At 41.3% G+C, this 25,609-nt stretch overlaps 1 protein-coding gene across 3 annotated transcripts in view, besides 5 other annotated features; it reads right to left on the reverse strand.

Annotated features, from left to right (window-relative positions):
* The window catches only part of USP49 (ubiquitin specific peptidase 49), a 105,480-nt gene extending 83,674 nt beyond the window's left edge, over window positions 1-21,806 (reverse strand). For 2 of the 3 annotated variants that reach the window (NM_001286554.2, NM_018561.5), the window contains exons 1-2: window positions 21,755-21,806; window positions 18,225-18,306 (exon numbers count right to left, since the gene is read on the reverse strand). The gene's annotated coding sequence lies outside the window, so the exon portion shown is untranslated. Of the gene's footprint in view, window positions 1-18,224; window positions 18,307-21,560; window positions 21,570-21,754 lie in introns of those variants that run through there. The other variant, NM_001384542.1, reaches the window with a different exon arrangement.
* Window positions 20,565-21,079: an enhancer, noted in NCBI's record as "H3K27ac-H3K4me1 hESC enhancer chr6:41861872-41862386 (GRCh37/hg19 assembly coordinates)". NCBI's record gives its function as "activates a minimal SCP1, AML or CMV promoter by ChIP-STARR-seq in naive H9 embryonic stem cells {active_cell/tissue: H9 hESC(naive)}" and the evidence as "EXISTENCE:reporter gene assay evidence [ECO:0000049][PMID:30033119]".
* Window positions 21,644-21,883: a silencer, noted in NCBI's record as "silent region_17195". NCBI's record gives its function as "represses an Ori minimal core promoter by ATAC-STARR-seq in GM12878 lymphoblastoid cells {active_cell/tissue: GM12878}" and the evidence as "EXISTENCE:reporter gene assay evidence [ECO:0000049][PMID:35858748]".
* Window positions 21,644-21,964: a biological region, named in NCBI's record as "ReSE screen-validated silencer GRCh37_chr6:41862979-41863271".
* Window positions 21,672-21,964: a silencer, noted in NCBI's record as "fragment chr6:41862979-41863271 (GRCh37/hg19 assembly coordinates)". NCBI's record gives its function as "represses an EF-1alpha promoter that drives an FKBP-Casp9 reporter gene in an ReSE screen in K562 erythroleukemia cells {active_cell/tissue: K562}" and the evidence as "EXISTENCE:reporter gene assay evidence [ECO:0000049][PMID:32094911]".
* Window positions 22,014-22,203: an enhancer, noted in NCBI's record as "active region_24529". NCBI's record gives its function as "activates an Ori minimal core promoter by ATAC-STARR-seq in GM12878 lymphoblastoid cells {active_cell/tissue: GM12878}" and the evidence as "EXISTENCE:reporter gene assay evidence [ECO:0000049][PMID:35858748]".

Here is a 25,609-nt window from a genome sequence, read left to right on the forward strand (position 1 = left end):
CAAAATGTCCCCCAAATGACCCTACTTTCAACATAAGAACACCAAAAAATTTAAAGTTAACTTAATTACATTTAAATCCAAGTTATTCTAATTAATTTGGGATGCTCCCCAAAAGCTGACTGTAATAATCAGTCCTACACTAAGCAGCACCTAGGACACGTATGTAACCATATGGAGTTTAGGCTTAAAGCCCTAGGAAAGTTATATTAATAAATGTGAAGGGTAACAACTTCAATAATTACGATGGTGATCTTGAAAACTGGGAAATTATAATAAATCAGCTCAATGCTGAAAACTATTAATAAGATTCTATACATTCAAATATTTTCTATCCAGGTCCCACTTATATCATTTACACTACTGCAATATACTTTTAAATGGGTGGGAAGTGAAATTACAGATATATAAAACAAATCACTACAGTAGGAACTAACTAAAAATGTGGAAGACGTCCCTTTAAATGGTCATTAGAAAGGCAGTTCCCAAAGTCAGGAGGCCATATTCCAAGCTTACCTGTTACTGAAACATGCTGAACTCTCAGGGGCTGTCTGGCTCATGCAAGAAGAGCACATGATGTGGAGTAACAGAGACCAGTCAACATCATGGTGTCCATTTATTACAAGACCTTCCTTAACTTCTCCGAGCCTGTTTTCTAATCTACTTCACAGCACTGGTGTAGGGATTAAATGAGAACGCAAGTAAAACACCAGTGCACTGCCTGGCACATAGCTGATGATCAACAAAGGTTTAATTTCCTTCCTTTATCTACCTTTAGTTTAGAGCAATTTTCAGGGCTTGAAAAGGAGAAAATCCATTCTTGAAACCTTACCCAATTTACTCTTATTCTGCCAAACAATAACAATGATGATGATGATGGTGATTGATTATGATGATAGCCAGCAACACTGATAACAGTGTTTAATGTGTGCCAGAAATGCAGTTAAATGCTGTTACATATATTAACAAATTCAATCCTCACAACAGCTGTGAGGTAGATATTTTTTATTCCAATTTGACAGATGAGGAAACTGTGGCACACCTAAGTTCCACAGCTAGTTAAGTGGCAAGGCAAGGATTCAAACCCAGGTTTCTGCTCTTCGGAAATATACCAGGCTGGGAGCAGTAGCTTACGTCTGTAATCCCAGCACTTTGGGAGGCCAAGACAGGAGGATTACTTGAGCCCAGGAGTTTGAGACCAGCCTAGGCAACACAGGGAGACCCTACCTCTACAAAAAATAATTTGCTGTGTGTTTTGGCACAAATCTGTAGTCCCAGCTACTTGGGAAGCTAAGACAGGAAGATCACTTGAGGCCATGAGGTCAAGGCTGCAGTGAGCTGTGCGTGATTGCACCACTGCACTCCAGCCTGAGTGACAGAGTGACACCTTGTCTAAAAAAAGAAAGAGAGAGAGAGAGAAAGAAAGAAAGAGAGAGAGAGAAAGAAAGACAAACACCAAAAACTAACTTCTGGGTGATGTCACAGCAGCAATGCCCATTCTTTGATAGCTCCCTAATATTAATGTAGTAAGGTAGGGAATGTTCAGATGACTTACAAAGTAGAATAGATCTGTTATCTTAAAAATACATATAAATATACTATCTATATATATTTTAAGATTTAGTTACATATTTTAAAATATATTTTATATCTCAAAATATTTTAATGTATATTTTATATGTTTTAAAGTTTAAAAAGTGGACCAAGAGAATATTAATACATTTAAGTCAGTAAATAACTTAACCAAGATTATATCTTTTTCAGCAAGCTCAATAAGGTGGCACATTCCAAACTATAAACATTTATTAACTTATGCTGTATCTCATCTGTAAGTGTCTTGCCCTGTAAGCTCCTGGAGGAGAGAAATAGCATCTTTGTCTTACTTATTGTGATAGTAAATAATATCTTTTATGTCTGAAAAAGTACCTTGTCCTTAGTAGGTGCTTCAATAAATACTGACCAAAGAATGGAGAGGCTGGATAGGCAACACAGACAAAACTTTCTAGTCTGCCTATTATTTCCCTTTACATTCTAAGGCACTAGCACACTATCCTTATTTTCCACTACCCATCCACTCCATTATTTTACTATCAGCAAGGCCTTGATGGACTTAAGTGTTTTCCTTGACCCAGTCACATTTTTGGCCTATCCAAATCCATTTCATTTTTTTTTAATTTTTGAGACAGAGTCTCAGACAGCCTGTCGCCCAGGCTGGAGTGCAGTGGTGCCATCTTGGCTCACTGCAACCTCCGCCTCCCGGGTTCAAGTGATTCTCCTGCCTCAGCCTCCTGAGTAGCTGGGATTACAGGCACGCACCACCACACCCGGCTAATTTTTGTATTTTTAGTAGAGATGGGGTTTCACCATGTTGGTCAGGCTGGTCTCGAACTCCTGACCTTGTGATCCACCTGCCTCGGCCTCCCAAAGTGCTGGGATTACAGGTGTGAGCCACCATGCTCAGCCCTAAATCTATTTCAATCTATAAGCTCACATAGCAAAATGTCTTACGACAAAAAGTCCCAAATATACAATTAGAAGATTCATGAATGAAAGCAAAACATATTGTTATGTCACTTTATGTTTTTTCAAAGTGTTTCCACGCACATCCCCTCAGTGCCTCAAGATAGCTGTGAAAGCAGGCAAGGCAGTCATAATAATCTAGGAAGCTGCATCTAATCCTGTTTTGGAGTGGAAACATATCTTCATTGTCACTGCCAATGAATCAATGGCTCAAAACCTGAGTTAGATACTTTCTCTGCATTTTGGTACAAAGTCTATAAGAATGACATATTTTTAAGTCAATGTCATAAATGACTTTTTAAATCATAAATGATCAGCCATCTAATTGAACTTTTTTTTTTTTAAATTAAGACAGAGCTTCGCTCTGTTGCCCAGGCTAGAGTGCAGTGGCACAATCTCGGCTCACTGCAACCTGCGCCTCCTGGGTTCAAGTGATTCTGCCTCAGCCTTCCAAGTAGCTGGGACTACAGGTGCGTGCCACCACACCTGATTAATTTTTGTATTTTTGGTAAAGAGGGGGTTTCACCATGTTGGCCAGGATGGTCTCAAACTCCTGACCTCGTGATCCGCCAGCCTCGGCCTCCCAAAGTGTTGAGATTACAGGCGTGAGCCACCGCAACCTGCCGTAATCGAAGTTAAAACAGCCCAAATGCCTTGGAAGATACAAGGCAGAGGAAATTCACACAACTAAATAAAGAAAAAATTTACATGCATTTACAGCTAAATAAAGAAAACTTTAAAGTTTTAAGGAGACCACAATCAGCAATTACAATTAAATCTCCCTTGGCTGCTAAATTAGGAAGCCCAGCATAGGATAGCGGGAAGAGAACTAAATAAACTAGGTATCAGGAAGCCTGGGTTTCAGTCCACACTCTGCCACTGATTAATTATGTTATCTCCAGTCCCACTCAAATTTAAAATTCTAAAATTTTGTACATATCGCCCAGAGTAAATAAGAAACATATAACATTTCACATTTCAGTGCACCACATAGAAAGCATGAACAAAAGGCTCAAGGTCTGCTGACTTTACTAACATTCAAAAGTATTAGTTTGCCATGGGTTTTGTCCATTTATGACTCTCAATAATGGTTTAAGTTTAAATTCAAGGCCTCTGCACAGAAAACTGCAAAACAGAGATGTTTGAATTATTGTGAAATACAAAGGGTAGCAGGATTGCATTTACACATTTTGACTACGATTCAGAATAATCTAGGTGGTAAAAATGCTGTTCATTTGCCACATTAATTGACTTCTTAGAAGTTATTTATTAAAATGCTTCCTCACCATTAAACAGAAATGCAGTCCACAAAGCTGTATTTACAGTATACATGGAATGGCAATCTAGACTGTGAGCTAGACTGGGAGAAAGGGTTATTTATCATCCATTATTGTGTCCTGTTGACACAGCATAGTACATGGTACAAAGGACATATTAATATATACTGCTGGTCTAATGAATCACTCATATGGGATCCCATTTTTTTTTTTTTTTTTGAGACAGTCTCGCTCTGTTGCCCAGGCTAGAGGGTAGTGGCATGATCTTAGCTCACTGCAACCTCTGCCTCCCAGGTAAGCAATTCTCATGCCTCAGCCTCCCAAGTAACTGGGATTACAGGTTTGCACCACCACATCCAGGTAATTTTTGTATTTTTAGTAGAAACAGGGTTTCACCATGTTGTCCAAGCTGGTCTTGAACTCCTGGCCTCAAGTGATCTGCCCACCTTGGCCTACAAAAGTGCTGGGATTATAGGCGTGGGCCACCACCACGCTGGGCTGAGGACCCCATTTTTTACATTTATCTTAAATTTTACTTCCTAGGCAATATGCTGCCTAACATTTATAAAATTCTTTTTTTAGAGACAGAGTCTCACTATGTTGCCCAGGCTGGCCTTGAACTCCAGGCTCCAGGGCTCAAGCGACCCTCCCACCTCAGCCTCCCAAGTAGCTGGGATGCTCATTTGTAAAGGATGTAACATCAGCTCTACTTTCTTCCAAAAGAGCTGCAAAGATCAAATAAGAAAATGTGTGTAAGTGCATTATAAACTGGCAAGAGCTGTATATATGTTAGGTATTCTTTCTTTGCTACCAAAGAAAGCAAAGACTTTATGTCATTATTCTAGCAAAAAGAAACACTGATATTCAAACATCCCAGGTGTTCTGGGGCAGGCTGGGATAAAAGAGCTTCATCATTCAGGTAGAATTCAAGAATCCTAAAATGTGTTGGGTATCTGGGTCTTTATAATTTTAACTGACAGCTTAATAAGAACTAAAGGACATACGATCTTAGCCAGATTGGGAATTCCTTCTCACCAAAAAATGTGACCTGAGAGCAAAGGAATGTGCTTGCATTCTCCTCAGTCATCCAAGATAAATGCAAATAAAAACAATACCAAATCCCATTTAGTTTGTAGAGCGGCAGCATCAGCCACAAAAATCACCTTCTATATAGCATATACCAGAGTTGCTACTTCATCACTCTGCTTAAATCTAATCCTGCTTCTTATATGTCCCACATATAATAAATATTAATTGGTAAAGTTCAGTCTGCCAGCATACATTAAAATCATTAATTCTGTCATTATCAAGCACTTCTTATAAATACTATATAGCAATTTTGTCAGCAAAGCAATAATTTTAATGAGAAAACATTTATGAATATTTATTATACTTCCTCCTAGATACCATATTGTGTGAGGTGTTTTCATGTACACTTGCTCAGTTAATTCTCACAATGAGGTGGGTATCAGCAGGATTTTACAGCATGAAGCACAGAGGGCCCAATTTCATTAGGAAATGACCCAGGATCACAAAGCAAGGAAGCAGCAACACACAGGCCCAAGATAATTGCTTTGAATTGCTGCAATTCTAGTAACCCTAAATCGGTGGCAAGGAACATAAAATTTATTTAAGTAGGTTTTTTGCCTGTGGTAAAACTTAGTTGGAAGTTAGCCTTGTTTGAGAAGTTACTCAACTATGAATCTGCACTCATTCTACAAAAATGCTTTCTAACTTTAAACATAGGTCAGAGAGGTATGGTGGCTCATGCCTATAATCCCAGCACTTTCAGAGGCCAGAGTGGGAGGACTGCTTGAGGCCAGCAGTTTGAGACCAGCCTGGCTAACATAACGAGACTCTGCCTCTATGTTTTGTTTGTTTTTGAAACAGGGTCTTCCTCTGTCGCCCAGGCTGGAGTGCAGTGGCGCAATCACGGCTCACTGCAGCCTCAAACTCCAGAGTGCAAGCTATCTTTTCACCTCAGCCTCCCAAGTAGCTGGGACCACAGGTGCATGCCACCACACCTGGTTAATTTTTTTTTTTCTAGTTTTATGTAGAGACGGAGGGTCTTTCTATATTAAGGGGAAGCCCAAATCAAACTGAATTGTGCTAAGACAAACCAGAAAAACTCAAAGTGCCTCTGAAAGTGGGGATAGCAGACAAAGCTAAAAAAAGGAGAATGGAGTAAAAGTTCTACCCCTAGATTGCTGCCCTGTCTCCAAGCAGCTGCTGGGCAGAGGATGGGAGGTTTGTTCTCTGGAAAGATTACTAGAGAGACTCTGGACTAGGCACAACTAGGGGCAGGCCCACCAGTCTAAAAAAGATGGTGATTAAGAGAAAGTTGATATCGTGAAAGGTGAAACATCCCTAGCCATTTTCCCCACTCAGCTTCCCAAATGATACAGCCAGGTTTGTAAGCCCTAAGCAGATAATAGGAACATTCTTTCTGGGGATGAACCTGGTCAAGAGAAAAGCACAAATACTGACTGCTAGAGGTGTCCTCTCCAAGAATAAACCACCAGTTAACTTTCAGAAGCTGACACTTGGGCAAATCCAGCTTTCAGTTTTTTCGTGGCTCACTCCTGAATATGAGTAAAACAGCCAAAGCTATACTTTTAAGGAAATTCCCTAAATGAAAGATCAAAATAAATGAAATGAACAAGTAATGTATTTTAAGGAAACACAGATTTTACAGAAAGCTGAGGAAAGAACATGTTCAGAGAAGAGCTAGTCCATCTGAAACAAAAATAGATGACTATTAAAAAGCAACATTCACAGAAAAAAAAAACTTAAAAATTAAAAATATGACAGCATAAATATAAAACTAATTAGAAAGGTCTTAAGATGAAGTTCAAGACACCCCCCAGAAAGTAGAATAAAGAGACAAAAAGATGGGAAATAGGAAAGGAAAATTAAAGGACTCATCAGTCTAGAAATTCCAACACAAGTATTGAGAGTTCGAGAGGAAGAACAGAGAAAACTGGGGGCAAGGAGGAAAAGGAAGAGATTGGTTAGAATTTAAAAATTCAAGAAAATTTCCCAGAACTGAAAAGTGTTACCAAATTGAAAAGGCCCTCCAAGCGTCCAGCATAACAGACAAAACAAGGCCTAGAATGAGGCTAATTATATTAAAATTTCAGAACATTTCCAGGGAGGAAAAAAATAACCAAGAATCAGAACATCATCAGACTTCTCGTCAGCAGCAACAGAAGCTAGAAGCCAATAGAGTGATGCCTGATAAAGTCAGAGAAAATATTCTCTTATCTAGAATTCTATACCCAGGTAAACTATAAATCAAGTATAAAAGAAAATAAAGATATTTTCATATATGCAGATTCCCAAACAAATTTACATCTCATGCACCTTTTTCTCAGGAGCTTCTGGGGGACATGCTCCACACAAATTAAAATATAAACAATAAAGGAGAAAGATATCAAGTCAAGGAAAACAGGGGGTTCTCCGTAAGAAGGCAAAGGAAATACCCAGGATACGAGGGGAAGTAGATCCCAGGATAAAAGCTGGGCAGGTCTAGAAAAGAACCTACACAGATTTTTATTTATTTTATTTATTTTTTATTCTTTTATTTTGAGATGGAGTCTCGCTCTGTTGCCCAGGCTGGAGTGCAGTGGTATGGTCTTGGCTCATTGCAACCTCTGTCTTCCGGATTCCACCAATTCTCCTGCCTCAGCCTCCCGAGTAGCTGGGATTACAGGCGCCTGCCACCACACCTGGATAATTTTTTGTATTTTTAGTAGAGATGGGGTTTCACCATGTTGGCCAGGCTGATTTCAAACTCCTGACCTCGTGATCCACCCACCTCGGCCTCCCAAAGTGCTGAGATTACAGGCGTGAGCCACCCTGCCCGGCCCCTACGCAGATTTTTGTAAGCATAAGCCTACTGTTCAGAAATATGGCATTAAATACCAAAAAAAAAAAAAAAAAAAAAAAAAAAAAAAGCCCAGCTAGAAGAATAGAAAACAGAGGTCCCTAGAGAGGCAAAATGTTGGGAAAGGGAAAGGCAGGTAATATTCTTTTTATGCTGTATATAGTCTTAACATAAATAAAAACTAAATTCAAAAAGATTCTTGGAAAGGTTAAAATAAATGTTTTAAAATCACATCTAAAAATATGATTTTTCCAATCAAGATTTCTAAGGGGAAAAAGAAACTAAAGGAAAAAAAAGTCTAAGTTTCAAGGCAAAACAAAATCAAAGTATTTGGAAAACTCAAATAGTAGGCGTGGCTTTGTTTGAAAAACATTAAGGGCAGGAAATAATGTTTTTGCTCATAGATATTCAAAAGTCATAGTCATAAAACCAGCAAAGAGAAAAAGAAGAATGTTTAACATATTATGATGTCATTGGAGAAGGTTCATTATACTTTATGCTTCTGCATAAAGTATAGTTTTCCTTCCTTTTCAAACTTTGAGAAAATACACTATTCTCTTACAAAACATAATACATACCCAATAGTTCCTCCAGTTAAATAATAATAAAATAAAATACTATGTTCATTCTTTCATACTCATGGATATGCTGACTTAACTTTGTAAAAAGATGCCAAAGCTTCGTAAATTAATCTAAATCAAATTATAATCTCAATCTTAATCAAAATTACAACAGGACATTTTGGGGAGGGAGGAAACTAGATAAACTAAATCTAAATATTTAAAAAAAAGATCCACAGATAGTTATATCAATTTTGAAAAAAAAAAGCAAAGACAGGGAATCCATCCTGCCATATCTTAAGAAATACTAGAAAGGAACAGTAATAAACATGATATGGTACAGGATCTCATCTAGGGTGTGTCTGGAAATGCATGGGCCATCATGGATGTCACAATGACAGGGCAACACTACTGACATTGAGTGGACAGGCCCAGCAGTGCTAAACATACCTACTCTACTAACTGTGCCCCCTTTAAGAAACTTCGAGATAAATACACCAATGAGATAGAATAGAAAGGTGAGAAACTTGATTTACAATAAGGGTGTTACTACAAATCAACTGGAAGGTTCAGCTAGTTTAGTGGATGGTATTGGGAAATAAAAAAATAATAAGGCTGGATCCAACCTATACCACATCCAAAGATTGCTCCATATACATTAAAAACTTAAGGGGAAATGTAAAGCCATAAAGCTAAAAGAAATTTAGGGAGACAATCTGGATGATCTAAGTCCAAGAAGCAGTAATAAGGCAAATACAGTAGGCTAAAAAATGATGGATGTGACTACATCAAAATCAAGAATTTCCATTCGGTAAAGAACAAGGCAGCCACGCGCAGTGGCTCACGCCTGTAATCCCAGCACTTTGGGAGGCCGAGGCGGGCACATCATGAGGTCAGGAGATCAAAGCCATCCTGGCTAACACGGTGAAACCTCGTCTCTACTAAAAATACAAAAAATTAGCCAGGCATGGTGGCACGCGTCTGTAGTCCCAGCTACTCGGGAAGCTGATGCAGGAGAATTGCTTGAACCCAGGAGGCAGAGGTTGCGGTAAGCTGAGATCGCACCACTGTACTCCAGCCTGGGCAACAGAGCAAGATTCTGTCTCAAAACAAAAAACAAAAAACAAAAAACACCTAGGCAAAGTTAACAGATGACATCCCAGAAGATGATATTTATATGGTCCAAAACCAACCAGGGATTTAAGAAATATTATATATATTAAGGAGTTCTATAAATCAACAAGAAAAATACAGGAAACAAAGGATATGAAGAGGCAAAGGAAAATGGCTAACTAGTATATGAAGAAATGATTAAACTCACTGGTAACTAGAAATAAAAATTAAACAGCCTAGCCAACATGGCAAAATCCTGCCTCTACTAAAAATACAAAAAAATTAGCTAGGTGTGGTGGCACACACCTGTAATCCCAGCTACTCAGGAGGCTGAGGCAGGAGAATTGCTTGAACCCAGGAGATGGAGGTTGAAGTGAGCCAAGATTGTGCCACTGCACTCCAGCCTGGGAGACAGAGTGAGACTCTGTCTCAAAAAAAAAAAAAAAAAAAAATGCCAAGCACAGTGGCTCACGCTTGTAATCCCAGCACTTTGGGAGGCCGAGGCAGGTGGATCATTTGAGGTCAGGAGTTCGAAACCAGCCTGGCCAACATGGTGAAACCCCATCTCTACTAAAATTAGCCAGGTGTGGTGGTACACGCCTGTAATCCCAGCTACACGGGAGGCTGAGGCAGGAGAATAGCTGGAACCAAGATCATGCCACTGCATTCCAGCCTGAGCGACAGAGCGAGACTCCATCTCAAAATAAATAAATAAATAAATAAATAAAATAAAAATTAAAATGAGACATTACTAAAAGGCCAAAATTAGAAATGTGGATAATACCAAGTGTTGGGAGGGGCGGTTATAGGAACACAATGCTTATGGGTATAAGCTTATACAACCATTCAACAGCCTCATAGTACTTATGCCGCAATGCCACTCCTGGGTCTGTGCCCCTGAGAATTCTCAAACATGTCCACTCCTGGGTCTGTGTCCCTGAGAATTCTCAAACATGTCCATAATGGACATGTGCAAGACTGTTACTGGTATCATTGTTTATGGTAGCCTAGGTGCCCATCACTATGAGAATGGATGCACACCACAGAATACTATGCTGCAGCTCGAAGCAGTTAGCTAAATCTACATCCACATGAACAGATCTTTTTTTGTTTTTTTTTTAGATGGAGTCTCACCCTGTCACTCAGACTGGAGTGCAGTGGCACAATCTTGGCTCATTGCAACCTCCACCTGCTGGGTTCAAGCAATTCTCCTGCCTCAGCCTCCCGAATAGCTGGGACCACAGGTGCGCACCACCACACCCAGCTAATTTTTTGTATTTTTAGTAGAGACAGGGTTTCACCATGCTGGCCAGGATGGTTTCGAACTCCTGACCTCGTGATCTGCCCACCTTGGCCTCCCAAAGTGCTGGGATTACAGGCGTGAGCCACCGCGCCAGGCCCATAACATAGATCTTAAAACATAGTGCTCACTGAAAAAAGTAAAAACCAGAGTAAGATCTACAGCATTTCTACAAGGAGAATTCTATAGCCAAATTCTACAACAGTGTGGTATAATGAGCAATTTTTTAATTAAAAATACATACACCAAAAGAATCAGTAAGTATTTTACAAAGATGCACATAGAATCAAGGACATATCAAACACATTAGAGAGTGTGCCTGTGAGGTGGGGAGGAAAATAGACATGGGAATGAGGGCTGAACAGAAGGCCTTTGTACACCAAAGCTATACTGTAACCCAAATTATGGGAGTAGGAAGTCCAAATTCAGAATAATATTTTTCATTCATGCATACATTAATTTATTCCATAAAAACTTATTGAACACCTCTTAAGTGCCAAGAACTCTGCTTAAATAGAAACTTTTCTTATTTCTGCTGAAGATATTTTTTCAAGTCAGATATGTTTTAATTGGAAGTGGAAGGGAAAAATAATTTACAGTAGCATATAATATATACTAAAAAATGAGAAACCATCCTTAAAATAAATGTTTTACATAACTTTTTTCATCAAATGGAAATGTACCTTGAAGTTCTTTAAATGACAAAGTTAAATGAAAAATCAAAATACAAAAAGAACTCTGTAAGTCCTACATAAATTAGACAGCCACATCTCAATCCACAGATAAAACGTCTTGAAGTCTCATGGCTTTCAGTGGTGAAACAACTACTTTTTGGAGGATAAATTTTTTCTACTTTATTTGTTCTATGTAACGCCCTCCCTCTGCACCCAACAATACTTCAACTGCTCAGGAACACTTCTCACCAGATTTCTGTTTTCTAAAAGATTTCACAAGCACACTGCTGGCTGCCAACGTAGGTGTTGTAGTTAATATACTCATTATGCCATGCTGCTAACAAAAACTGATTAACGCATTCAGTGCAGAGTGACATGTCTATTCCATATTCCCTGGGCACAGAGAATAACATTTTCAAACAAACAAAAAAAATTACCCGTTCACCCCTTTTTAGATGTCTCCTAATGAAAGGCCACAAATTCCAAATGTTAACTAGTATACATGATAATACTGGTAAAGGAAAATAATAGCAACCTGTAGTAGGACAACAGCTGCCTATAAGGCTCTAAAATTGCAGTACTTCAGTATCTCAGATTTAGATTACTGAGTGTCAGCGCACAATCATACCTCACTGTAACCTTGAACTCCTGGGCTCAAGCAATCCTCCCGCTCAAGTGGATCACTTGAGGTCAGGAGTTCGAGATCAGCCTGGCCAACATGTCGAAACCTTGTCTCTACTAAAAATAGAAAAATTAGCCAGACATGGTGGCAAGCACCTGTAGTCCCAGCTACTGAGGAGGCTGAGGCAGAATGGCTTGAAGCCGGGAGGTGGATGCTGCAGTGAGCCGAGATCATGCTACTGCACTCCAGCCTGGGGGACAGAGTGAGACTCTGTCTCAGGAAAAAAAAAGAGAGAGTCTCCCACCTTGGCCTCCCAATGTGCTGGGATAACAAGGTAAACTACACACTGGGCCCAATTTGGGATTTTCAGCATGGAGCAGACAATGAAGCCACTCACAGATGAGACTGACGTCTTCATTAAAGCACACTTACCTTTCACTTGAAATGCATTGTTATAAGCTCTTCAAGTTATGTCACACATTTCTAAAATATTTCTTTTAAGAGTATATTCAATTCCACGGTGATGTATTTGCTTTCTCATCTTTACTTATAAGACCCTTCTAATCAGTTGACCATATTTAACTTTTTTATATGCAATGTTTATTAACCTGACCTTTGACCTCTTTTAGATACAAGCATGCAATCAGTGTATAGCCATAAGCATCCAATTGATATAGGTGGTTGTATTAGAACATAAAAAAGGAGAGTTAAAGATGTAAATGTTAGCAATGACCATCTATAGGGATATTCTTGGCATTCTGGTTTATAAAAACATAACATTAATATAGTCCCACATACTCTATGAATGCTTACATAAATGAGATGACCTCTGTTCATAAATGCTGATTCGCTGTCAAGGGCTAGATGTCTATGATCATTAAGCTATTAGCAATGACGGCCGAATTGAGCAATTCATACATTTTCTTACTTGATTTTCTTTGTTGCTACCTCCAATTTTTGTCAAGGAGAATCTAATTAGCTCTAACAGGGACTTTGACCTTATTGTCCTGATAAGTTAATATCCATAACTGCAAAAATAAGTACCATAAATTACCTGGCATTCTAGAAAGGTCTGGGCTCAAAACTGATAAATCAAAGCCAGCCGTGGTGGCTCACGCCTGTAATCCCAACACTTTGGGAGGCCGAGGCGGGCAGATCACCTGAGGTCAGGAGTTTGAGACCAACCTGGCCAACATGGCGAAACCCCATCTCCACCTAACAATACAAAAAATTAGTCGGGCGTGGTGGTGCATGCCTGTAGTCCTAGCTACTCTAGGGGCTGAGACAGGAGAATCACTTGAACCTGGGAGACAGAGGTTGCAGTGAGTCAAGATCGCACCACTGCACTCCAGCCTGGGCAACAGAGTGAGACTCTATCTCAAAAAAAGTTGATAAATCAGTAAACCCCTATCTACTCTTCCTTTCATTTTCAACTACAATGTATATCTACAAAACAAATTGATCCTTAAAGACTTTATTTCAAAGTCAAAGTTCTTGCTATTTTAATGCACCCACATGGTCCATCCAAGTGAGCATATGACATATCCTACACATCTTCTTTCCCATGTCAGAGACTGAAAGAAAGAGCAGGAGGCAGGAAAGAGCAGGACACCAATGTGACAAAATGCTAAAGCCAAGCTATAAATTACCTTTTGGCCATTCTCTGCTGCATTTTGAAAAAGCTAACACAACAGTAGAGCCCATCCTTCCCTTGGATAGATACAAGCATCATACAAAAGTATCCTCCTAACTCACTAGCAACAGTGCTGCCCTCCCATCTTTCACACAATTTGCCCAGCAAAAGAAGCACTGCTGGGTTCTAAAGGCAATGACTGAAAGCTCTGTATTCTGATGATGGGAGGGAGCAGTGAAGACCAGCTTCCTGGGCTCTAAACTATGCCAGACTGCCGTGCTAATCCTCCCCAAATCCCACAACACAACGTTTCAGTGGGGGTGGGGAACAGGATAGAAAACAATCCAAAACTGAATCAAGAACAGTAGCTCTAGGTTACGGAGGTCATAACATTCCTATTTGAATGAGGGTAGGGAATAATGGAGTGGGGCAAAGACATAGACAAAAGCCTTTAAAACATATCTTTAAAACCACAAAAGAAAAATAAATTTTATCCCTGATCCTTCTGATGTGCTAACCAACATCTGCCCCCAATCATTTGCCAGCCCTGGCTGCATAGAAGGCACGGAGTAGCAGACATTTTCACACAGTAAAGCTGGAAGAGATGCTACTAGAGTGTAAATCACTAATTAGCTCAATAAAAGACAGAGAGAAAATACTTGTCACAGAATGCTGTTTACAATTTGACATATAATAAAAAACCCTGAAAATTTCAGGAGAATGCCTTACTTTCCAGACTTCTATTAACATGTGAATGGAAAAGGGACAGTATTATAGTCTTTAAAAATAGCCCATGTCTCCGAAACAATAACACATGACTAGAAAGAATGCTTTCCAAACAATTTGTAATTTTTTCATCCTTATGAAAGGGGAGTGTTTTTAATTATCACAATCAGCTTTTTTTTTTTTTTTTTTTTTTTTGAGATGCAGTGTCACTCTGTCATCCAGGCTGGAATGGAGTGGCACAATCTCAGCTCACTGCAACCTCCGCCTCCCAGGTTCAAGCAAATCTTGTTCCTCAACCACCCAAGTAGCTGGGATTACGGGCATGCACCATCATGCCCAGCTAATTTTTGTATTTTTAGCAGAGACAGGGTTTCACTATGTTGGCTAGCCTGGTCTCGAACTCCTGGCCTCAAGTGATCCACCTGCCTCGGCCTCCCAAAGTGCTGGGATTAACAGGTGTGAGCCACTGTGCCTGGCCTACAATCAGCTTTAACAAGGAGCTATATTTCACAGCTTTGATAATTGCTTAAAGAGTGGGGAAAAAAGGAAAAGAAGCCCACAAGTGCTGTTTTTTTGTTTGTTTGTTTTGTTTTGAGACAGAGTTTCACTCTTGTTGCCCAGGCTGGAGTACAACAGCACGATCTCAGCTCACTGCAACCTCTGCCTCCCGGATTCAAGAGATTCTCCAGCTTCAGCCTCCCGAGTAGCTGGGATTACAGGCATGCGCCACCACACCTGTCTAATTTTGTATTTTTAGTAGAGACGGGGTTTCTCCATGCTAGTCAGGCTGATCTCGAACTCCTGACCTCAAGTGATCCACCCGCCTCAGCCTCCCAAAGGGCTGGGATTACAGGTGTGAGCCACCGCACCCAGCCACAAGTGCCGTATTTTACATTTGTCAGAATACAGTTAATATTCCTTCCAGTTAAACTGAGAGGACCTCCTTCAGGTCACGAGTTTATCAAATGGACAGGCCATCATTTTAATGAAGATTAAATGATGGGAAGGGAGTCAGTTTAATTTCCTTATGTCACAACAACAGAAAAGACTCCCAAAATTTAGGTTTATTTGGGGGGAAGGTAATATAATATTAAGATATTTCCATTCGTCCCCCTCATAATATGGCAAACTTATTTGTATTAATCCCAATCAATTTTTTTTTTTTTTATTTTTGAGACAGAGTCTCGCTCTGTTGACGAGGCTGGAGTGCAGTGGCTTGATCTCGGCTCACTGCAACCTCTGTCTCCCAGGTTCAAGCAATTTTCCTGCCTCAGTCTCCAGAGTAGCTGGGATTACCGGCACGTGCCACCACGTGTGGCTAATTTTTGTATTTTTAGTAGAGGTGGGGTTTTACCATGTTGGCCAGGCTGGTCTCAAACTCCTGGCACCAAGGGATCCACCTGCCTCAGCCTCCCAATGTGCTAGGATTACAGGTATGAGCCACCGCACGCAGCCAACCAATATTCTTAAAGCAATACATTTTGTACTTTGATCTTTTCCAGCTCCTTGAAGCTACATAAGAGTCTTTAAAATATGTATTTCACCTAACTATTTCTTGGTTGTGGTTTTGAAAGGCCCCATGGCTCCTGTTTCTCACAATAATCACCCATACCTCCATAGCTAGCATGTCCTGAGGACACATCCATGCATGAGCACACCATGCCACATGCTAGGGAGGTTCTCAACACATGGGTACACTGTGACACAGTTTTTTCTAATGGGAGAGACCTACAAACCCATCATTCACAAGTGAAAGAATCTCAGAATGTACAGGAGACAAGACCATAAAAACACAAAATCCACTCTAAACCCAATCTTGAGATTCCTTTGCTTCAAGTATTTGACTAAAATTAAACACAAACTAAACTTTTTGAAATACTCAAAACATTCTCCCCTTTTCTTCTTTAAAATTAAGGTCTTCATATGCATTTTCTTCAATTTGACTTGTTTAAAAATACTCAAGTGAGAGAAAATGATAAAGCAAATGGGGCAAAATGAAAAAAATTGGTGAAACTGAGTAAGGGTATACAGAATTTCTTGTATCATTTTTGCAACTTTTCCATATGTTTAAAAAACTGCAATAAAATCAAGAGTCACCAAAAAATAGAGTATTAACAACAGAAGTTCTCTCATAGGGCTGTTTCAAATTTCAAACAATTCACATACTCAGTTAATGCTGGACACCTAGTAAACACTCAGTAATTGTTAATTATTTTTTTTAAATGAGTGGATCAGCTGGGCACGGTGGCTCACGCCTGTAATCCTAGCACTTTGGAGATCACTTGAGGTCAGGAGTTCGAGACCAGCCTGGCCAACAAGGTGAAATCCCGTCTCTACTAAAAATACAAAACCTTGGCTGGATGTGGTGGTGGGTGCCTGTAATCCCAGCTACTAGGGAGGCTGAGGCAGGAGAATCGCTTGAACCTGGGAGGCGGAGGTTGTAGTGAGCCAAGATCATGCCACTGCACTCCAGCCTAAGCTACAGAGCAGTACTCCAACTCAAAAAAAAAAAAACGAGTGGATCAATTTACTTAACCAATTAAAGTATTAGGAGGCCAGGCGCGGTGGCTCACATCTGTAATACCAGCACTTCGGGAGGTTAAGGTGGGCAGATTTTTTGAGCCCAGGAGTTCGAGACAAGCCTGGGCAACATGGTGAAACCTTGTCTCTACAAAAAATACAAAAATTAACCAGGTGTGATGGCACACATCTGTAGTCCCAGAGAGGTCCAGGCTGCAGTGAGCTGACGTGGCGCCACTGCATTCGCCTGGGCAAAAGAGCAAGATTCTGTCTCAATAATAATCATAATAATCATAATAATAATATATGGGGAAATTGGTATATCACTTAGGCACACATAAAGAGAAAATACTAAAAAATTAGTGAGGGTATAAACAGATTTTGCTTATGGATATTTGCACTGAAATCTGAAATCAGAAAAAATCCATTTTTCTTCAAACAGCAATAATCTTTCAACTATAAATGTGTCATAGTATATAACAAGTCCAGGGCAGTTTTCTAGCTAAAAAGGTGGATGGGGAATCTGCAATGCAATAAGGCATTTTTTACTGGTTTGGGTTTGTTTTGTAAATACAATTTTGGAATGAAAAAATAGAAGCATGCAACAACCTTGATGTAATCTTTACATTATACATAATCGTTACGGTGTTTACCCCAGGTTCCTCATCTAGAAAGGAACTGGATAAAAGGTTAGTAACAGGACTACAGGGATAATTTTTAAAGATTGGCAAACAAGACTTGTTAAGTGTTGAATCTGAAGAAGAACTTGGTGAGGGAGAACTTCACAACAGGCAAGCCAGAGGCAAAACCAGAGCACAGACTCTGCTGGCAAAATGCAAAGGCTGGAATCCCATCCCACCACTTGGTAGAATTCTAGCTTTTGAACTAAAATAAAGATTAAATGTATCACTGGGTTACAAAACATAGTATTATTTGTAATATAAGATAATTACCAAATAAATAGTTGTAGGAATGTCTGAGTATAACCTTGGGCAAATCATTTAATCTCAAGGACCCTCTATTTCATCACCTGTAAAATGAGAATAGTAATAGTACCTACCTCACAGGATTGCCATTGAGGAGTAAACAAGTTACAATTTGCAGTGCTTACAGAAGTATCTGGCACAAAAGCATTATATGTGTGTTGGCTACTATTATTAAGTTTATGAAGAACTAAGGTCTTATAAATACAAAAGTACACAGGTATTTTTTACTCAAAAATTGAGAATGGGGCAAGAGGAAACAAACACATATATAGCATTAAACATGTGCTGGTTGGAGAGAAGGCAGACTCTCCTGATAGAGAAATTATTAAATGCTTGCAAAGATTATCTACAGAGGTTACCACATTACTGCTGAAGATTTGTTTTAAAAAATAGGATAAATTTTTATCTACCTGGAATGATTTAAGTGGGATATTGACTGGAGTTGCAGGATAAACTAGAGGTCCTTTCAAGGTCTCTTCCCATCCAAAGAATCTACGGTTAACCAGGAAAACATTTAATTATGTACAGCCTAATAAATCTAAAAATATAAACTTAAAAGCTTTTGCTTAGCAAATAAGATTATAACCAAAATAAAGTTAAATTGGGTAGAACTGTACTTGATGAACAAATGAAAATAAAGCTTAAATTTATCATTGGAGTCCTTATTGATAAATAGTATTATCTCAATTTTTAAAAATCCATTTTCAGTTTTAGAAATAGCGACTGAGAAATAACCATTGACAATGAGACTCAGTGGTTTAGCACACTAAGGCCGTTGCATACAGAAACAAAAGGCAGGACTCACTCTTTCCCTTGGCTGATCTTACAGTTTATATTTCCTTCTTTACCAATATCAAATAAGTCTATAATCACTTATATAAAGATATTGAGCATTAAACAATTACAATTACATTATAAACATGGCAATACCATACAGAGTACGTCCTACTACTAACGCCAGCCCAAACACATCTATAAAAAGAATATGCACACACATCTCACTGAAACAAGTGCCTCATATCAAAGTTATTCTTCATCTTGAAAGTCAACATTATCAAACTAATCCTTTTAAAATGTAGTGGCAAAAATAGTAATTTTTACCAAGATCCTCTGTTAAATTGCTAAATACATCTAGTAACCTTGAACACTTGCTTAATACAATCCAGGAAACAAACCATAAACTAAATACTATGCCACTAACACAGTAGCTGAATGCAGAAAGAGTTTTCTAAATTATACATTAACCATTGTTGCTCAAATCCACAAATCAAAATCTAATCTTTGTTAACTACTACAAAAGTCATAAACCTAATCTTTGTTATTTATACAAACACCAGCAAAAGTGTCAATCCAAAATTTACCCAACTTTGAAAAAAAAAGTATCTTTGTGCATCTGAGTGTACACAATGAAATAACCCCAAAGAAGATTCTCAACAATTGTTTGAATTTTTCCCTAAGTAAATCATATGCTATCCTTTGGCACCATCAAATGCAAAACAAATATTCATTCATATTCTTAGCTAAATGTAAAAGCTTCTGAAAAAAATCATTAAAACAAAATTCTAAGTAAGAATAACCAAATTTTGCCCCAAATTTCTTATCTTCCTTTTCATTTCTAAAGGTGTCTTAAAAATCAAAAGCTTCTAGAAAATTAGTATTAATCTGGCCTTCTTTATTCATAACCATAAAACACGAAAGGCAGTGGAGCTGTCCAAAGACCAAGCTTGCTGCAGTATTATCTTACAGAGATGTTTTTCCATCAAAATTACTCATAAATTTATTTGCCCTAAAAAATAAGTCTGCTACTCTAAAATCCTCCACTACTCTACAATTCTCCCTTTCTTTATGCCATTTTGTTAAATGGGTGAGTTACCAACTACAGCATGAAACGTCCCGCACAAAGCTAAAGGCAGCTCAGGAACTCAAAGCCCTCAGCTCTGATTTAATCTCTCCCCCAGTAAACTTCCTTGGTTGGTTATCTGCCTTTCTCTGAAATGATTTCTTAACATTCTCCAGCAACTGAAAACAATAAGCAGAAATCTGGTTGATTAATCAAAAGAAACAGATTCTCATCTTTCTCTATCCCAACAACAGTGCGTTCTCCATTGAAAATGAAAATGCTGTCCATAAAACACAGCCCAGCACTTGTCAGGTGCAACACTCCTACAACACTAAAACTATCACATCACACGAGTACACCCTAAATAAGCACACCCTTTCCCCGAATTATCACAACACTAGTGAAATGCAGAGGTTTTCAACACCCAGAGTTTATACTTTATCATCCATACAAGAAAAAAATCAAATCAAAATGAGTCTCATTTCTTCAAAGTGGACAGGAAAGTCAAATCAAAAGCAATGAAGGGTGGAAGCAGATTCAAGATTTCTTGAGAGAAAGAGGTTTCTGGAATTTCCTACTTTTAGGGACAAAAGGATTCACAGTTTCAACACACAGTTCTCTCCTCAACAAAGAATTCCTTTCCTGCACCCCCCACCTCTGCCCTTACTTTTTAGTCTTTACCCCTGTCTCTAGGTCCCCTTTCACTCACCATGGTTCCTCGTCTTCTGCACCAAAGGCTCTCTTACACTTGATCTTTCACTACAGCATTTCTGCCCTGACCCTTGCAGACCTTCTGGAGCAACTCCCCATAACACGCACATTCGATTCCCACCCCCCTGCAGTCTACCCCAGTTCTACATCCATCAGGACTCCCCCAGCTTCTCTTAGCCCCCTCTCTTCCCTTACTCCCCATCTCATCCTTTAAATTCTGGGGCCCATCTCTTCCTGCTCCTCTCACCATTTGCTTTTAGCCCTGTCTCTTTACCTCACTGTTTTCACCTTGGATCTTGCTGAACCTCTTCAATTAACGTAATTACCCAGTTATCCTTGTCCCAGATGGCCATCACTTCTTACACCCTAACTCTAGTCTCCTTTCAGCTCTTCTGGTCCCAGAATCGTCCTACAGACACCCATCTCTTATCTGTTTCCTTTCGCCCTTCCACCACACTCTTATTCCTGACTCCACCTGGTTCCAGTCCAGGTCTCATTTGCCCTCCCTCACTTTACAGAATTTACATCCATCGCCCACCCACTAACCCATTCCTTTCTCAGAACCTCGCCAGCAGTTCCCACCACACCGTTGGTCCCAGTCCTTCAGCTCATCTCGCTCCGCACTAGTTCACACCCTCGTCACGTCTGGCTCTTAATCACTCTCTCTTTCCTACTCCCAACTATTACCCCAGCTCTGCCCCTCCTTGTCTTCCACTTCCAACACTTACCCCGGTACCCCTCACCCCAACACCACCCGCTACGAAGATTTCCCCTTCAAACCCCTGCTCTTACACCTAACCCCAGGATCCCTTTCCCCAGCCCTAACCTCATTCCCTGCCCGGCTTCCTTAACGCCCACCCTGGCTTTTGCCTCCTTCCTATCTCCTTGGCTGGCTTTTTCTCACTCCTCCTCTCCCTGGCTTCTAACCCTTTCTCCCCTTAATCCTCCTCATCTCATTCTCAACCCGGTTCCCCTCATCGCCTCCAAGCCTTCCTTTCCCTCTCCCTTCAACGCTTTTGCCCCAACCCAGCCGTCGCCCACCCCGCCAAAATAAGGCGCCCGCGCGCCCCGACTCCCGGCTCTCGCCTCCCGCCGCCCCCGCCCCGGGCGCCCCCAGCCCGCCGGCGCCGCGGTCCCGCCCCCTGCCGCCGCTCCTCCCGCCCGCGAGGCGCGCGCTGCCTTTGTCGCCCCTCACCCGGTGTGTGAGGATTTTGCTTCTTTAAAGGGGAGGGCTAGTGAGCCGGAGACTCCTATCCCCGCCTCCGAGTCTTAGAATGGGCTCCCTGGCCGTCGCGGCCTCCCCGGCCCCCGTTCCCCCTACCCCCTGGAGCTACCCACTTTGCTGCCTCCCCACCTCCTCCGTCCCCTCCCCCGGCCCCCTCTATTTACCGCCATCATCAGCACGCGCGAGCTGTCACCAGGGCGCGAGACAACCGAACACGGCCCCGCCCCCTGCCCGTCTATTGGCCCGCCCGCTGGAGCCCCGCCCCTCAGGCCCTGCATTGCGCCAACGGCGCAGCGCTGGGCCGCGACCCCGGCACCGGCACCCGTTCCGAGGGTTCGCGCCGCAGGCGCAAAGTTTAGGGTCAGCCACAAACGCGCGGCCGCTTTGAGCCTGGCGTAAGGGGCGGCGGCGTAGGGGGACGTTGTGAATAGCTGGTCGAAGTTTGGTTGAAGCACAGGAGGGTAAATAAGAAGGTTTCCAGACAAAGAGACTCTTAAAGGTACAGACTCTTATGTCTGTCCCTCCTCCTTAAAGGGCCAGAGACGCTCCCGAGCCCATCTCCGCCCCCTTCTTCCCGGGGAACTGTAAAGGTATTTTACATGAGTTTCCCATACTCTTTTCGGTTCACCTTTAACACCTCTCCCCACTGCGAAGGACAAAGGCTTTCTCACTATCCCGTCCGTATGTTTTGTTTTATTCTGTTAAAAGACGTTATTTCTGTGTTGTTCCTAAAGCAGCAGCCCTCAAACCGTGGGGTTTCCGGAGGCAGCGTTTGCAAAAGTTACTATTGGCTCCCAGGCGGGTGAGCACGTGTCTGGCTTTTGCCACAGATGACCCAAGAGAGATTCAGCTGTTTTATGGAAATCCCCCACAAGTTAGAGGATCGCTGCCGGAACTGAAGAAGTTCAGCAGATTGTAAGGCTTGGGAAATAAACCAGACTGACTTGGTAGTGGTCCATTGGGAAACAGAACAGCACCTAAGCTACAAAAGGCTTAGGTTAAGCAGTCTCCTAGGTGCACTGTCTTGAAACTACTTGCGGGGTGGTAGTGGGGGGAGGGGATGGGAGTCTCCCAAAATAAGATCAACAATTTCAACACCCAACACATAGCTAAGGCAGATAAAGACTTACATTTAAATATAAGGACAAGTAAAAGAAACAGACATTAGCTATAGTAGTGGCTCAAGTTACACACCTGTAAACAGGAGAACTAGGTAAGCACAAAAAAAAAAAAAAGAACACCACACACAATAGGAAGGGGGAAACTACAATGCCTGGACCAAGCGCTGTGTAGGCAATTTATTAACAACTTGCACTTTTAAAAGAGGTTTGATAGAAGGAGAGGAAGTGGAGTGTTTCAATTTGGTTTGGTCGGGATTTATCATGAGGTTCAAGGCCTCAGAGTTAGATTCAGAATTTAGCTCTCCCTTTGTCGTCCATCACAGTTAACATAATTCTTTTTAAGGAATTCTTAACATTATAACTCTAATTATATGTCTTATTCCCTTACTCAACAATCCCCAAGAAAATTCTTGGAGAAGAAAGATTGTTACTTATTCAATGTTAGTTCCATAACAAGGTGCTTTTGCTGAGTGAAGAATTTGGGAGCCACTTAAAACTTCCAATGGAAGGGATGCTCCCAGAATAGCAATACAGGAGGAAAAGTTTCTCAGTGATGTGAGCATGTATTAGATCAGTGTTCTCAAAAATGTGGCCTGGAGGCCGGGCACGGTGGCTCACGCCTGTAATCCCAGCACTTTGGGAGGCCAAGGCAGGTGGATCATGAGGTCAGGAGATCAAGACCAGCCTGGCCAACATGGTGAAACTCCGTCTCTACTAAAAATACAAAAATTATCCGGACGTGGTGGCGTGTGCCTGTAATCCCAGCTACTCAGGAGGCTGAGGCAGGAGAATTGCTTGAACCAGGGAGTTGGAGGTTGCAGTGAGCTGAGATCGTGCCACAGCACTCCAGCCTGGCAACGGAGTGAGACTCCATCTCAAAAAAAAAAAAAAAAAAAAAAAAGTGTCGCCTGGAAAGGCCTAGGGATCTCTGAGACCCTTTGGGCTGGGGGGATAGTGGGGTGCCTGAGATCAAAACGATTTTCCTAATAATACTGAGACATATCTGCATTGTCACTGTGATGATATTTGCACAATGATACAAAAGTAGCAATGGGTAAAACTGCTGCCTTAGCACAAATCAAGGCAACTGCACCAAGTTGTGCTAGAGGTCAAGGTATTCTTCACTGCTACAGTAAAAAAACACCTGTTTCAGGCCGGATGGGTGCAGTGGCTCACACCTGTAATCCCAACACTTTGGGAGGCCAAGGCAGGTGGATCACTTGAGGTCAGGAATTCGAGACCAGCCTGGCCAACATGGTGAAACCCCTCTCTCTACTAAAAATACAGAAATTAGCTGGGCGTGGTGGCACGCACCTGTAATCCCAGCTACTCGGGAAGCTGAGGCAGGAGAATCACTTGAACCTGGGAGGCAGAGGTTTCAGTGAGCCGAGATCGCACCACTGCACTCCAGCCTAGGCAACAGAGTGCGACACTGTCTCAAAAAAAAAAAAAAAAAAAACCACCTGTTTCATTTAAGAGGTCTTTGATGAAGACAATAAAAATTGTTTTATTTAAGTACACGTTTATGTGATTAAATGCATGTATGTATGCATCAAGCACTTTTAAGTACAACATTTGTCTTGAGGAAAAGCACTCTTGCAATTTGAGTTTGGAGCTGAATTAATAGCTTTCTTCATGGAACACCGTTTTTATTTGAAAGAACAGCTAACAGACTAGTTGTTCACTGGATATTTGGCAGACATGTTCTTAAAAATAAAGTAGAGCCTGATAGCATTGTCGGTTATGATAAAACTCAAGCCTTTATTTTTATTTTTGGAGACGGAGTCTCACTCTGTTACCCAGGCTGGAGTGGAGTGGCGTGATCTCAGCTCACTGCAACCTCTGCCTCCCAGGTTCAAGCAATTCTCCTGCCTCAGCCTCCTGAGTAGCTGGCACCACAGGCACACGCCACTAACGCCCAGCTAATTTTTTGTATTTTAGTAGAGACAGGGTTTCGCCATGTTGCCCAGGCTGGTCTTGAACTCCTGAGCTCAGGCAGTCTGCCCGCCTCAGCTTCCCAAAGTGCTAGGATTACAGGCGTGAGCCACCGCACCCGGCCTGATAAAACTCAAGCATTTAAGTCAAACAGAATTTCTAACAACTGACTTGTATCTCCCAATGTAAGTTTGATAGCTTCCCATGACTTTTTCTAATAAGACTGGTAGTGGGCCAGGCACGGTGGCTCATGCCTGTAATCCCAACACTTTGGGAGGTCAAGGTGGGCAAATCATTTCAGGCCAGGAGTTCGAGACCAGTCTGGCCAACATGGCGAAACCCCATCTCTACTAAAAATAAAAAAATTAGCTGGGCATGGTGGCGCATGCCTGTAATACCAGCTACTCAGGAGGCTGAGACACAAGAATTGCTTGAACCAGGGAGGCAGAGGTTGCAGTGAGCCGAGATCATGGCACTGCCCTCCAGCCTGGGCAACAGAGCAAGACTCTGTCTCACAAAACTAAAATAAGTCCGGGCACGGTGGCTCATGCCTGTAATCCTGGCACTTTGGGAGGCCGAGGTGAGCGGATTGCCTGAGCTCAGGAGTTCAAGACCAGCCTGCGCAACACAGTGAAACCCCATCTCTACTCAAAATACAAAAAAAATTAGCTGGGTATGGCGGCATGTGCCTTAGTCCCAGCTACCCGGGAGGCTGAGGCAGGAGAATTGCTTGAACCTGGGAGGCGGAGCTTGCAGTGAGCCGAGATGGTGCCACTGCACTCCAGCCTGGGCGACAGAACGAGACTCCATCTCAAAAAATAAAATAAAATAAAATAAAAATAAAAATAAATAAATATGATTTTTTGATACTGTATAATGTGTCAACATTTAGGAGATGTGCAGTGTTTTCCAAATGACCAATGCATGACACTACAAAATCACACATTAGTAAAAGATCCATTC

Source organism: Homo sapiens, chromosome 6 (genome assembly GCF_000001405.40).
Source record: "Homo sapiens chromosome 6, GRCh38.p14 Primary Assembly".
NCBI lineage: Eukaryota > Metazoa > Chordata > Mammalia > Primates > Hominidae > Homo > Homo sapiens.